Source organism: Homo sapiens, chromosome 6 (assembly GCF_000001405.40).
Source record: "Homo sapiens chromosome 6, GRCh38.p14 Primary Assembly".
NCBI lineage: Eukaryota > Metazoa > Chordata > Mammalia > Primates > Hominidae > Homo > Homo sapiens.
Genome location: NC_000006.12, coordinates 58,032,505 through 58,048,521, shown reverse-complemented (window position 1 = coordinate 58,048,521; position 16,017 = coordinate 58,032,505). Strand labels below are relative to the sequence as shown.

The window sequence follows — 16,017 nt, the reverse complement described above, 5'->3', positions numbered from 1 at the left end:
CCCAGTGGGAAAGGCTCATGGAAGTTCAGCTGAACCATATTGCTTATATGATGAGGATGGACAGCAGGAGGAGAGTGAAGCCATTCTGCAGAGTGGATGTCAAATAATCAAAGAGAAGACAGCAGGAACTCTAAGGATGCAGGGGACACCATCTAAGGTAAAGTGACATTGATATCAACATCTAGGAAATGATAGAGGCAGATAAATAGCTCAGGCAAGAAAAAAGAGATGGGATGACCCAGTTTAAGCAAAAAGTAATTTGCTAATCACAAAGCAAAGAAATAATACAATAGGCTCCTCTCTCCACTCACACACAGCAGGTATACCCATTATCCAGACAGAGCAGTAGACAGAAAAGGAGATCAACTGCAATGTGACTGGTACTCAAACCACAGAGGGCTGCTTCCGAACAAGAGCTCACCCCAAAGAAAAATTGGCAGGCAGTGCCACCTGCAGAGGAAAGATATATCTTCTGCAGGCACTAGCTCTCCAAAGCTGACAGGCTGATATATTCTGCTGAATAAATTGAAAAACTTTCAAGTGGTCTAAAAAAGGTAGTCTGAAGTAGACTGCACTGCAGGGATCCAACCAAGTTAAGAATGTCAGGAGCCTGTGGCAACATCCACACCAGGAAAAAAGACTCATAACCTCTCGAGTTAAGTGCAAATGAGAAAATAGCATGGTGGGTTTCGTTTCTTTGCGTATGTTGTGTGTGTGTGTGTGTGTGTGTGTGTGTGTGAGCCCGCGTGCGTGTGTGTGGCTGTATGTTGTGATTTTTTAAAGGACACAAAACTGCAAAACTGTTCTTTCCATATAAGGAGTAAATCAGGCATGAGAAGTATTTTTTCCTCTGGAACAGAGAACAAGTGTGTTATTTTCTCCTAGAATTTTTAGGCTTTTTGACTCCCCATGGAACTGACTTTCCCTTCCTCCAGGCTCTGCTCAAGCCCTGCCTCCTCCACAAATCTTTTCCAATGGATACAGCCCTAATTGTTCATAGCTCTCTCTCTACTAGTAACTTACTTATTGCTTGAACCATTCAATGTGGAACTTAATTGAATACTATCTTACTTTCTTCTAATTGCTTAATATGTGTAAATTTAACCTCCCAAACAAGACTACAAGATCCCTGAGAGCAAGGATTATGTCCAACATGTATATCCTGTTCCCCTCAGCTAGGCTGAGTATATATATATATATAAAATTTATTTCCTGTCATCTTATCTGAGGAGGGTGGGAAAGGCCTCCTGGTGCACAAAGGTCCCTCTACCCTGTGTTTATTTTCTTTAAACCAAAGAATTCACTCATTTAGATTAAGAAATTAGCCCAATTATAGTACTAACAATCGCTGGGATGATTTCTCCACTTAGCTATTCTGCGGTGATATGCAAAATAATAGTTTGGGACTTCAAGGCCTGGATTTGATTCTCAACTCCATCACTTCCTAATGACATGATCTTGACAAGTTATTAACATGTCCATAAAATTTGCTTATCTATAAAATGAGGAAATAACATTCTACTCATGGTTATGTGACAACTGAAAAAAAAATGCCTGTAAAATTTAGCCCATAGTAAGCACTTAGTAAATGCTAGCTTTTTAAAACAATAATAATAAATAGTAACAATAAGTACTGAGATATACACTGAAAAGTGTGAGATTCAACCCTACTTGCAAGCTGACAAGGGAGCCTGTCACAGTTTCCGGGATGCTGGGAAAAGTCACTAGACTATTAAGTCAGACAATGGGCTTTGTTAGAGAAGAGCCAGTAGCATGAACACAGTTCCATTCATCCCCCAAAGTCCCACAAGGGTTGGGTCACAGTTAAGGCACTCTGAGCCTAGGACACTCAAATCTTATATAATGGGCTGCAAGCAAACTTGCCCAACATTTGTTCTGAAGGTGAACATTATCCTTATTATACTAGTTAGTAATCATGCATGCTCTCCGCTTCAGAAGAAGACACTATAACTTCTAGGGCTATTTACTATATAAACATCCTTAAAAAAAATAGTCCAGAACAAAGACCATCAGTCTCTGTTCTCAATATGTGCAGGAAACAAGCAATCCAGAGAATTGCCTTCCAACAAAACTTAGCTCCTACTAGCAAGGACCTTACAATCTGCAGGAAAAGATAGACAAGTAAATTTTAAAACTAAGAGATAGGGAAATAGTGCTATTTTAAAAATCATTAATATAATAAATGCATACAATCTTAAAATACCATATAACTATAAAAGATAGTGAAGCCATATACTTACTAACATGAAAATTGTTTATGATATATTGTTTGTTGCAGAAAGTGGTCTAAAAAGTAAGTATAGTATACTCCCATTCATATGTACAGGTAAATCAGATAAATCATTGACATGGGACATTGCAAGTAATCAATAGATAATTTCATTTATATAAAATATTAAACTTATAATATGTAATATTTATAAATACTGTCCTGGAATGATATAAAGTCCAACATGCTGTGCACTTAAGAACTGCGCACAAAAAGTTATCTTAAAAAGACAGGGAATCCAGGCAGGCTTCTTAGAGAAAGCAGTTATTAAGTGAAATTTCAATGAAATGTAAAAAGTGGGAAGAGAATTTAAAGCAGAAGACAGTTGTGAACACACTGAACTTGGAATAGCATGATGGATTCATAAAATAGTATAAAATTATCCATAAAACTGCATGTTGTCTGGAGTAACCAGGATAAAAGATAAATACAAAAAAATAGTAGAAAGTAGGGCTAAAGAGGTAGACACGGGTTAGATAAAAGTAGCAGCCAATAATGTATTCTAAAAGGTGAGGAGGTGGTAGAAGGCACCTACCTCAGAGTACATCTACAGCAGGCTCCACTCTAAGAGCCAAATTCATTGCTGTGTACATGCAGCTGCTTGATGAAAAGGGATTGGACTTAGAGCCTCTCCAGCACCCTCCATCCCTGAACTACATTCATCCAACAGGTACAGGATGCCTCCACTAGGATTACCCCGGCACAACAGACTTGTCATGTCCAAAATGATATACATTACCTCCTCCGTCACCTAAATCAAAACCCAAAAGGGTCTTTCTAGAGTTCTTCCTAGAACTCCACTACTAGCTCTTCCTATCAGTGGAAGAATTTTTCTCACCACTTATCCCCTCCCCACCCCTCACCCCACACACAGGCCAGTCAGACACATTTTCTTTCCTCCATATCCAGCACCACTGCCTTAGCTCAGTCTCTCACCATGACTCTCTGGATGCTTGCAGTAGCCTCCGCCCAGGTCTCTTAGCCTCCCTTCCCAAGCCCTCTAGTCTATATTCCACACTGCCACCAGAGTGGAAGTGTTAATTTGCTTGTTTCTCTCTTAAAAATCCTGTAATGGTTCACCAATATCTACAGGGTAAAGTCTGTATTCTTTATCATGCCACACTAGCTCATTCATAATCTGGCCCTTCCTACCTTTCTAGCCTTGCCCTGACTGCCACCCTTAAGCACTCCACAGTCATGACATTTGAAACTATAGAGGTTCCTCAGAATACACCATGTTCTTCTGATCCTTTTTATCTTCTCACAGGCACAGCCTCTGCCCAGAAAGTCCTCTTTCCTTATGATACCCCCAGTTCTTTCCTTGGCCATCTAAGAAACGATTCACTTTTCAAGGCCTAGATGAAGCATCAACCCTTTAGGGATCCTCTCCTGATCAGTTAAGTGCTTCTTCCTGTGCAAGCATCTAGTGTCATAAGCAGCTAATAACTGATACATTACAAATATAGCAACTGAAACACTGCTTTAATTATATTTATATGTCTCTTTGATATAAATCTTTATTAGATTGTGAAACCCTTAAAGGTAGGGTAGGATCTTATTCTTTGCATTTTTATTGCTCACCACGTAATGAAGACTTTATAAATGTTGGATAAATAATTGGCTAGATATATAGATGAATGGATGGTTTCTAGTTATTTGTCTATATTAACACAACTCAAGTTGCTAAAAGAAATGTTACAATAGAAGAGGCTTTCAAAATGGAAATATGCTTTCTTAGTTCTAGCGCCTCAGTGGCTTAATCTCTTCTTTTTAAATACACACACACATGCACACACACACACACACACACACACAGAGTAAGTTGTCTTAAAGGGAAGGTCTTGTTAGACAATATGCTTAGCATTCACCAAAGACACTAATCCTAATAAAGATTTAAAGAATATTTAGCTAACAACAATTCCATTTATCAAGTGCTTACAATGAGCCTTATGTATCTGATCTTATACATAACAGCACCCTGTGAATTTGATACTACTCCCATTTTACAGATGAGGGAACTGCCTCTTAGAGCATATGAACGACACATAGCTAAGGAAAGGACAAACTGGAATCTAAAACCATGAATCCCTGACACAAAGTCAATGCCTTGATCCACTGATAGAATTAAATTATCAAAATTTCCATTGTGCCAAACAGATAAGATGTGACCTTCTCTTTAATAATTATGTAAACAGTTTCAGTGTTTTCTTGGATGTGTTAAAGATAGGATTTAACCAAGAGCTCTGCTATGAATACAGCAGGAAGCAATAGCCAAAGTGGTCAATATTAAAATTCATTTTCATACCACACACAGTTTATACTGCCCCATTTATAGTTTTTTTAAAAAAAGATGAGTTTGCCAACAATAATCTGTAATATTTCTGCAGTGAATATGAATAAGACAGCAATGTTTCTATTGTAGGCCATGTTTTCTTAAGTGTTTTCAAACAATCCAAAAACATTTCTACTAGGTTAGAGAACAGAATTGTCAGTTAATATTGTCATAACAGTTTTTCACTTTTAAGAAATGATTTTTTTTCTGTTTCCCTATCATAAGAAGGAAGCATACAAAAAATTGGAGCTTAGCTACACTGTGGAGAACCTTTTATATAGAATTTGGTTTGCTCAGTTTTATCTCACATAACTGCTTAGAATATTGAAAATTATTCAAAACTTAAAATATAAAGAAACATCTACACTTTACCTTTGAGGACGCTGTGACAGGCAGTTCCAGGAGGGCCCCCAGTGCTCCTTGCCTCCTGGTATGTATAGTTCCTTCCCAATCCTCAGGGTTGATCTGTGTGACCAAAGGAATACAGAAGTTATAATATGCAACTTCAAAGGCTAGGTCATAAAACACATTTTGGTTCCTTTCTCTTTTTCCTTCTCTTAACTCACTCACTCTGGGAGAAGCTAGCTGCCATGGCATGAGGCTAGCTGCCTCTCAAGCAGCCCTATGGAGAGAGCAACATTTAAGGGACTGAGGCTTCCTCCCAACAGCCAGTGAGGCACTAAGACCTCCAGCCAACAGCCATGCAAGCGAGCCACCATGCAATTGATCCTCTAGCCCAGTCAACATCTCAATAACTACAGCCCTTCTGGATATCTTGACTGCAATCACACAAGACGCTAAACCAAAGTCACCCAGCTTAGATACTCCCAAAACCTGACTCTTGAAAACTGTGTAAGAAAATATTTTTTGTTTTAAGCTGCCACATTTGGTGAAAGTTTGTCCAACAGCAATACGTGCATAATAAAGACACTATTCAGAAGTCCCATACAACACTTCTGCTTGCATCCTACTGCTCAAAGATGTAGCTTCCCAGCCACAATTTGATAAATGTTATTAATAGAATAGGAAAAGTAGTCTTTATTCTAGGTGGCCATGCATCCTGTTAAAAATGACTTTTATTACCAAGGAAAACGAGAAGAGGACAAGAGATATTAAGAGAGAAGTAGCAGCCTGTGGGAGATACACTGATAGCCCCCAACTAACCATACCTCCCAATATTCACACCCAATTAAAATTCCCTCCCATGTGGGCTTGGCCATATATTTGCCTTGATCAATGGAATATTTGCAAACATGATACAAGCAGAGGCTTTATACATCAGCTCACTCCCTCTTAAGAGGCTTACTGCCATCTGTAAGGACGTACTAGCTATCCTGCTAAAGAAAGAGGCCATGTGACAAACCAAGGTGTCCCAACCAAGCTCTCAGATGAATACGGCTGCATGAGTGATCCCAGTCAACCCTATGTGTGATAAAAGAATCACTGCAGAACCACAAGAAAGAATCAATGTTGTTTGAAGACCCTAAATTTGGAGGTAGCCGGACACAAAATAGATAACTGAAATGCAACCCTATCACATATAAAATACTTTACCTGGAAACTTGAAAAACTGTAAAGTGTTTCTAAAATAAAGGGCATTTTGATCCTGTTAGACAATAGGGTATCTGATATCCTTGATTTCAATCAGATAAAGCCATTGACATCTAAATGAATCATACAATTAATGATTCTTACAATAGAAAGACTGAATTTTACAGATTATGGAAATTATCATTCTTATACCATGGCTAACTAATGCTTGGACTTCCTCTAAAACATCATTTCTTAAACTGTAGTTTGAGGTCCATTGATTGATTTCAGGGGCCACATGAAAAAGACGCCTAACTATTTTGTCTTTAATTTTTTCTGAATAGTTTAAAACATAACTTTGTAATAAGTATTTCATTTACAAGACATTAAGTTAAAGTATTGTTAACTCTAGATAACTTAGAATATCAGTACACTATTTGTACTATACATGGTCAGTTCATACACAATCCATCACTGTTTCCATGCTAAGATATCTAGACTAATTTTTATTTTAAAATAACTAAAGAGGGCCAGGCATGGTGGCTCACGCCTGTAATCCCAGCATTTTGGGATCCCGAGGTGGGCAGATCACGAGGTCAGAAGATCGAGACCATCCTGGCTAACACGGTGAAACCCCATCTCTACTAAAAAAATACAAAAAATTAGGCGTGGTGGCAGGTGCCTGTAGTCCCAGCTTCTCAGGAGGCTGAGGCAGGAGAATGGTGTGAACCCGGGAGGCGGAGCTTGCAGTGAGCTGAGATGCATCACTGCACTCCAGCCTGGGCGACAAAGCGAGATTTCGTCTCAAATAAATAAATAAATAAATAAAACATAAACTATCATTATATTTATGGACAGATGATTTTTACAAATTTATGTTACAGACCCTAGCTGTAAATTGCAGGAAAAATAAAGTATAAAATTTCCATACTCTTAGATTTTACTTACCTAGTTCAACATAAATTGAAAAAAAGTCTCAGTTGTTTTGGTGTTAAGAGACTTTTTTTCTAATAAAAATATGGGGCCAACAAAATTCAAAGGAGCACCTTATGTATGTCCGTAATACATTAAAAAATGTGAATCTTTGTGAAAAGAAGGCTGGATTTTACTAAATCTTGGATTTGCCCCAATGCAAAAATCTTGTCTTGAAGTATTTGAAAAGACGCCCACATGACTGAAAAGCTCTCTTTGAAATCATGTATTCTGTTTTGTTATGTGGAGCAGAAAAATGTAAATGAAACAGTGTCCTTGTCAAATAATGTCCCTGACTCCATGAAGCAGGTCATGAATTATAGGCAGCTATGCTGTTTGCCTACACCTGAATGAAACCATCCAGAGCTTTTAGTGCAGAAAAATCCTTGGTTCCTTACATAATACACACTGATTTGATAAGATTATTTTGGATATTGTAAAGGCTATATTCAAAACAGCAAAATAGTTTTTTGCCAAGAAAATATCTGACTGGAAAAAAATCATGATAATCTTTCAGAGGCTGAGCCATAATTCTAATTTTCCTCCTTTGTTAAAGAAAGCAGCTTCACACATTACTGGGGTTTGTTTCTTCCAATAGCATCACACCCTAGTATCAAAGACTGCTAATATCCCTAAAAAAAAATCCTCATATCGATCTCACTGAAAATCTTTAATATGAACAAATACAAGGCTTCTACTACACAGAAGTTCATTGATATTTAAGAGGATATAGTGTAAAGAGGCAACAGAACTGGATTTCTATCCCAAATTGCTCATTTACTAGTTGGGCGATCTTGAACAACTTCTGTAACTCCTCTGAGTCTAGAGTTTTCCCATCTGTAAAGTGATAATTGCATCTACCTAAAAATGCATGGTAACAATCAAATATGATAATATACAAATGGATCTAGCAATGTCTGATATGCAGTAAATGTTGGGTTGCTTTAAACTGAATAAGCATCTCAAAACCTTTCTTATTCATTCTTCTAAGGCTCCAACTCTAAATTTTCCCAGTGGGCAAAGAGCTTTTTTCCTGAGACCTCATTTCTAGTATCTATGGTGCTTCCAAGACTAGCAAAACAAAGTTTCTCCTAGAACCGCCTGACAAGACGACCACTTTTCTCAACATCAGCCTATGGCTTCCGGGGAAAAACTACCAGTTACCTCTCTCCCTACCCAGAACAGAGCACTATTTCCACTCACAGCCCAGTCTATGCTCTTAACTGCTCCCTCACAGTATTTAAGAAAGCCTATTCACTTAATAAGGCAAAGTTTTTCTCTGAGTTATGAACAGTTCTCCTCTAATGAGCAGAGCTACTCCAACTCTACATCTGTCATTCTAATTTTTATTCAGTTAGCATCTGACATCTACTAATCTAATCCTTTATGCATATGGATATTGGGTTATTATTACATGTAAGAAATGCAATACTCATTTGAATGCTTACTTTAATAAGTGTTTAAGGTAATTCATTACACCATCTGCAGATTTTACAACACACTATTTGACTATTGAGTAATTCTGTTGTTTTTAACTAGCATTCATTGAGTGTTTTATACTTTACCAAACACTTTCTAATATTGATTTGATCTTCACAAAAATCCTATGTGGTAGGTAAGCCAGATATTATTAGTCTCACTTTTTTTAGATGAGGGACAGAAAGTTTAAGTCAACTGGCTAAAGCCATGTGGCAATTCCACTGACAAATAAACTAAATCCTATGTCTTTTGGCTTAAAACCTGTAACTTTTCCACTGTAATATGCTGTCTTCCAGTGTCACTGAGTACTATCTTTTATCTAATTGGCAATAAAAATAGTCACAACAAAAGGAAGCCTCTGAAGTCAGCATCAGGGTAAGTGTATCAAACCAAATGATTCATCCAGGTGTGGCAGCTCACATCTGTAATCCCAGCACTTTGGGAAGCCAAGGTGGGAGGATTGCTTGAGACCAGGAGTTTGAGATCAACCTGGCAACACAGTGAGACCCTGTCTCTACAAAACATAAAAATGAAGAAAATAGCTGGGTGTGGTGGTGCACACCTGTGATCCCAGCTACTCCAAAGACAGAAGTGGGAGGATAGCTTGAGCCTGGAAGGTCAAGGTCGCAGTGAGCTATGATTGTGTCACTGCATTTAGCCTGGGAATCAGTGAGACTGTTTCAAAAAAAAAAAAAGTGATTAAAGAAAGCAAACCTGTACCAAGAAATACTTTCTTTCATTTGTATTTAAAATGGTACATCCTTTATAAAAGTAAAAATGTAAAAAAAATTGTTTTTTAGGTTATAAAAATTATACATGGTAATTATAGGAAATATAAATAAGAAAACAAAAATCACCTAGATGTTATTTTGAGTGTATTGGATACTTATTGAGCATTTTGAATATGCAAAAGATGTGAGGTGATTTATCTTTTTAAACCACCCGGGTGGCTGCTCTGTGGAGAATGGTGAAGAGCCTGAGAGGCAGAGAGAACCAGTTAGGGGGCTACTGCAGATCCAGGAGAGAAATGAGGGAGGCTTGAACCAGATAGGAGCACTATGGGTGCTAAAATATGACATATCTAGAACTGGAGCATTGTTTGAAGGTACAGCTGATGAAGCATCTATGGAATGTGAGCAAAAGAAAGAAGCCAAGAATAATTTAGGATTTTGACCTGAGAAAAGGTTGGACAATGGGTATCATTTGGCCCAACAGAAAAGAGAGAGTAGCAGATTTTTCAGAAAGAAGTTGAGAATTGTTTTGAATGTGTTAAGGTGGTGTATTAGTCCATTTTCACGCTGCCGATAAAGACATCCCCGAGACTGGGCAATTTACAAAAGAAAAACGTTTACTTGGACTTACAGTTCTACGTGGCTGGGGAAGCCTCACACTCATGGAGGAGGGTAAGGAAAAGCAAATCCCAACTTACTTGGATGGCAGCTGGCAAAGAGAGAATCAGGAAGACGGAAAAGCGGAAACCACTGATAAAACCATCAGATCTCGCGAGATTTATTTACTACCACGAGAACAGTATAGGGGAACCCGCTCCCATGATTCAGTTATCTCCCACCAGGTTTCTCCCTCAACATGTGAGAATTAAGGAAGTACAATTCAAGATGCGATCTACGTGGGGACACACAGCCAAACCATATCAGGTAGCTATTCATGTGGACTGTCCAGTGGCCAGGTGGATGGATAAGCCAAGAAGGCAGAGGAGGGGTGGGGCACAAGATAGAAATGTAGACGTATCATTATTATATCACTCTGTCTCACTGCACTGATGCAGCTTGAAATTTGTCTCAAACAGTGCATGTGTGATCCAAATAGCTGAACAATCAACATAGTTATTTCAGTCACTTAGAAGGTCAGTTTAAATCAACTCAACTAATGTAGCCTGTGTGGCTGAAAGTATCAAATTGATAATGCTACACTTGACCAAGCTTGGCAAAACTCATATGAATCCATTTGCCTCCCTAACAACAATTTTTCCATTGATTATTGTAGGAAATCTTTCTTGACATTACTTGCTCCCACATGCTTTTTTGGGTTTTGTTTTGTTCTCTTTTGTTTTTGATAATTGAGTACATCCCCATATCTTTGTATTTATGAGGCAGAGATAGTTGTTTAGACACATAAAACAATTATGTTCTATTTTTATTTTTAAACTATTCATTTGAAATAGCAATTGCATAATCATTAGCTGTCTGGTTTGATAATTGAAAATAATTTCTGAAGAACTAAGTACTTTTATCCTCTTAAGTCTGCAGCAGTGATGGCTAAATCAAACAACCTGGAGAAAGGGTGTCCTCTTACATTGACTGGTAGATCGCCAAGACACCTTTTTTTTTTCTTTTTTTTCTTTTTTTCTTTTGAGACGGAGTCTCGCTCTGTCGCCAGGGTCACCAGGCTGGAGTGCAGGGATGCAATATCGGCTCACTTCAAGCTCCGCCTCCAAGGTTCCAGCGATTCTCCTGCCTCAGCCTCCCAAGCAGCTGGGACTACAGGCACGCCCGCCACCACGCCCAGCTAATATTTTGTATTTTTTTTTTTTTTTTTTTTTTGAGATGGAGTCTCGCTCTGTTGCCCAGGCTGGAGTGGAGCGGCGCTATCTCAACTCACTGCAAGCTCCGCCTCCCGGGTTCCACCATTCTCCTGGCTCAGCCTTCCGAGTAGCTGGGATTACAGGCGCCTGCCACCATGCCCGGCTAATTTTTTTTGTATTTTTAGTAGAGACGGGGTTTAGTAGAGACCATCCTGTTAGCCAGGATGGTCTCAATCTCCTGACCTCGTGATCCGCCCACCTCTGCCTCCCAAAGTGCTGGGGTTACAGGCATGAGCTACTGTGCTCGCCCAGGACAGCTTCTGATTGTAATTTAGCTTCCTATCTCATGCCTCAAAAGAATACACTGGCCTGCAGGAGAGTTATAATCGTCACTGAAAATTATTACACTGATCTTCTGAAATACAATAAATAAATAAATAACCAGACTTTTCACATGAGAAGCCAACATGCAAAAGAGACATAATAAGATTTGGAAGAAACATAATGAAAAGAAAAAACTGAGAGAAGATAGACTCAAATGTGTAGCTTCCACATCGCCAATTAGAAATAAGGACACAGATTCAACAACAGATAGTGATAGTGGAGAAGAACAGCAAGGGTGCCTAACAGAAGATGAAGAGAAAATCAAATCACTTTTAAGTCTAAATGGACACCTTCCCCCACAGACACCTGCACTAAGGTAATGTCTTTGAAGAAGTGATGCACTGCCATTGTGGGTTAATAGCTACCTCCCTATGCCTTGTTGGGTTTTGACAGTATCAGGGTATCAGAAAAAGGGAAAAACAAGTGGCATAGTAAAGTAGTAAAAGAGGCTCAGAGAGAAGTTGCTATACACAACACAGATTAGTGACAAGCTAGGCTATTAACGATCCAATATTGGACCCATGACAATTTTTTGTGATATGTAGTATATGGTAGGTACTTTACGGTAGGTAGCTAAGTGCTTTACACACATTTCCTCATTCCTCCTCAGTCTTATGAGATAAGTACCACCACACCCTTTTAGGTTAATTTTCTAAATGGTGTAGAAAAAGAGCACACAACAGAGCTACTTTTAGGTACCAATCATAGGCAAAACCAACTTGAACAAACATGAAGGGAAAAGAAAGTACATTTGATTCATACAAGGAACCTGTGTTCACACAGGGTGATGGTGCAGCTGTTTCAGGGCAACTGGAAATAGGACTGGGAAGTTGGAGAACTCTGCCACTTCTCTCTGCTCTTCTTACTATGTGGGCTCCGCTCCCTCTTTCTTCAAAGTGGCTTTCTCCTCATGGTGGGAAACAGAGCTGCCAGCAGCTGCTAGCTCACGTGTCCCAACTTCACCACCTGAGAGAGATACTCTCTTCCTAAACCTGGACCACTTCACTGGCCAGGGTATGCTGCCCTGATTGTCTCGACCCTTTAGATGTCTCTAACCTCTGTATCCATCATGGCCTGAAGGGCAAGAGAGAAGCACACACAGGCCCTCTGGGTGATCTCGGTGCTCTAGACCACCACAGATGGTGTGCAATACACCATCCTAAGAAATGAAATCTCCTTCCAGGCAAAGCAAAAGGGAAGAAGCAGAACATTCAAGGGAAAAAAATAGAACCTCACCGCCTAAATGCATAAGTTTAGTTCCAGAACATCCATAAGAGATTAATCTGTTCTATGTGATACCAGAACCCAGAAAATAAAACAGTTCAGATTTTGATTTATCTTCACCTGTGAAGCAGTGCCTCCATGCATAAAACAATCCTTTTCCCCAAATATTAGGAAATATAAGGTAGAGGTTTTAACCTTTGGGGTCCCAGTTCTCTTTAAGAATTTGAATGGGCCACTGGGCCAGTGATTGAACTATTATCTCTGAACTTTAAAACCCCTAGCCTTGTGATGTTGCAAATCACACTTCTGCTTCACTAGCTGTCACCTGTTAGAGTTCATCAAGAGGTGGCGCTTTGGGGTAATGGCAAGACTGGAGGAGGAAGAAGGGTCCTGTTTCTTCCTGTAGGCGAACTGTCTGCTGTGGCTCCTGTACTTCCATCCTCAAAATGCCAGTCTGTTTTGGAGGCTTCAGTTGAGTCCAGTGTGAAGAGATTCCGGCACTCAGAACAAGCACCATCACGTCCCCTCAGAGACCCTCGCACCAGCTGCCTGGCGTTCTTTCTTAGAGGTCCCAGCACCACATGAGCAGGGGTTCCTTAGAGAGCTGAGTTTCAAGTCTACGGGGCCCCCTCCCCACATTTTTAAATTGTAATGACTCCAGACCCCCTTTTTTTGTTTCTTCAACTCTAGGAGTAGCAGTAGCTTCCTGCAAATGCTACCTCTGTGACCACTTAGAAGTCACACCAGCTATTTTTCCAGAAATAATTTAATATAAAGAATTATTAACTAAGGTCAATTGTTAACAAGGTAACTGAACAAGCAAAAAGAGAATTCTATCTCCTAAATAGACGTTATGGACATACCCCCAGAAATATGCACCTATTTCATACATACACTCCACATAAAAAATTGTAATGTATTCATTGGTACACCAAAATTCACCTATAGCCAACTATAAACTCCATAAATCCAAAATTAAGAATCTTAGTTTGATCTCTTGCCCTTCAGACCATGATTGATGCAGAGGTTAGAGTCACCTACAGGGTTGAGCCAGTCAGGGCAGCACACCCTGGCCAGCGAAGTGGACCAGGTTTAGGAAGAGGGTCTCTCTCTCAGGTGGTGAAGTTGGGACACGTGAGCTGGCAGCCCTGTTTCCCACCATGAGGAGGAAGACACTGCAGGAAGAGGTAGTGGAGCCCACATAGTGAGAAAAGCAGAGAGAAGTAGCAGAGTTCTCCAACTTCCCAGTCCTATTTCCAGTTGCCCTGAAACAGCTGCCCCTTCACCCTTTGTGAACACAGGTTGCTGGTATGAATCAAACGTACTTTCTTTTCCCCTCACGCTTGTTCAAGTTGGTTTTGCCTATGAGTGGTACCTAAAAGCAGCTCTGTTATGTGCTGTTTTTCTATACCATTTAGAAAATTAACCTAAAAGGGTGGTGGCACTTCTCTCAAGATTGAGGAGGAATGAGGAAATGTGTGTAAAGCACTTAGCGTGGTACCTACCATGCTGGGTCCGATGCAGGGCACTTCAATAATGGTTCTTAGAAAACAATTTGAGAGTGCCCTGAGTTCTAGGTACTGGTCACTTAACAGTCCGGTTTCATAAGTAAATGCATTTACCTGGATTCCATGCTGTTTCCCAAAAGGTAGCCTTGGCATTTCAAGTGATATATCACATTAAAAGACTGTACATTCACCAGTGAAAAAAATGAAATGGTTAATAAATTATGACCCTGAAGGAGACTTTTATAATCTTGAAGAGCTTATTTTCTATTATAGTCTATTTTCTGAATAGCTTTGAGAACTAATTTTTTAAGTCTATTCTTGTAATGTTTTTCAACCTTTATTTTGGCAGGTCCAAATGAATCAAGTTCCCTTGGGTTTAAGTAGGCTCAAGATAAAGGCTGATATTAAGATCTTCTAGAAAATTGTGGGCCAGTGTCATGTGACAAGCATCATCTTTTTCCTCCAACAGGGAGAACTCCAAGATGAAATGCAGATTGCTCAAAAAGTAGGCAAGATGATCTCCTGGGGCACAGAAAGAACTTTTAGAACTTCTATTTACATTCACATTTCATCTCATGCTTTTTAAATTTATATTTTTGAGCATGTTTTATAATGTACATAATTTATTAGTTTGATAAAAACATCTAATGTTTTATAAATAAAAATAAACATTTCAGTATCTAGGCTGTGAGTACATTCTTGAAGCTTTTTTAAGAGGGATACACTTTTAAAAAATTTTGGAGACCACTGCTGTAGTGATAAAGAACCATATGCTTTGGAACAAGAGTCAGTGAACTTCGCCTACAGGCCAAATCTGACCTATCTATGTATGGCCCTTCAAGCTGCAAATGAAAAAAAAAAAAAAAAAAAGAAAGAAAGAAAAAAAAAGTATATATAACAGAGACTGTATGTGGTCCACAAAGACTAAAATATTTACTGTCTTCGCTTTACAGAAAATGTTCGCTGAGTTCTGCTTTGGAATAAGCCCACACAAAATACATTCAAAATTCTTTGAAAGGGTGAGGGAGAATCCCCTTCTACTTTGTTAATGAAATTTGTACAGATGAGAAGGGAAAGTGGGTGTAAGTTCATAGATTGGTACTTGTGATCCAATTATGGATGTTACAGATACCAAAAATAATTATTTAAACGGGGGTGAGAAGTCAAGGACAAGAGCAACAGTGAATGCATTGAAAACTTCTTTAAGAATGATGATGACTCTTGAGGGTGGCCTATTACACTGGCCCAAAGGGTCTCACAAATCAGCTTCATTTTATGAAAAAGAAGTAAATAAAGAATAAGTTGACTCTAGGAGTTTTATGTCAATAACTATGGCTATAAAATTTCATAATAACTGATGCTTAACAGGTGATTCTGAATCACCAAAATTAGGAAAAATTGTTTTCAGTTTTCTCCTATTAAGGAATGAGAAATACATTTTAGTAGCATTTATGCCACAGAAAGGGACTGAAATAAATATTCCTAAACTTACAGGTTAATTCACAACCAGGAAACTAGGCTCCACAGAATGACTTGATACCCAACTGACCAATTCTTGATAATATAAAGATGGAAACAGAAGCTTAAAGCCAAAATACTGAGAGCCAATTCATTGAAAATGCCCCCCATAGTACCTGTTAATGAAGAAGAAGAAATTAAAATATGTGGTAATTAGGCTACCTATGTTAGGGCTGATAAAGCTTTCCAGTAGGCCTATTAACTACAACATGTTAATTCTGTTCTATTTTAGAGTTCA

The 16,017-nt window shown here is 38.9% G+C and overlaps 1 long non-coding RNA gene across 1 annotated transcript; it reads left to right on the top strand.

Annotated features, from left to right (window-relative positions):
* The first annotated feature begins 10,228 nt into the window (after positions 1-10,228).
* Positions 10,229-14,940, top strand: LOC124901336 (uncharacterized). Its single transcript, XR_007059628.1, has 2 exons — positions 10,229-10,258; positions 14,731-14,940. It is a non-coding gene; the product is annotated as an uncharacterized LOC124901336 (long non-coding RNA).
* The last annotated feature ends 1,077 nt before the right edge of the window (positions 14,941-16,017 follow it).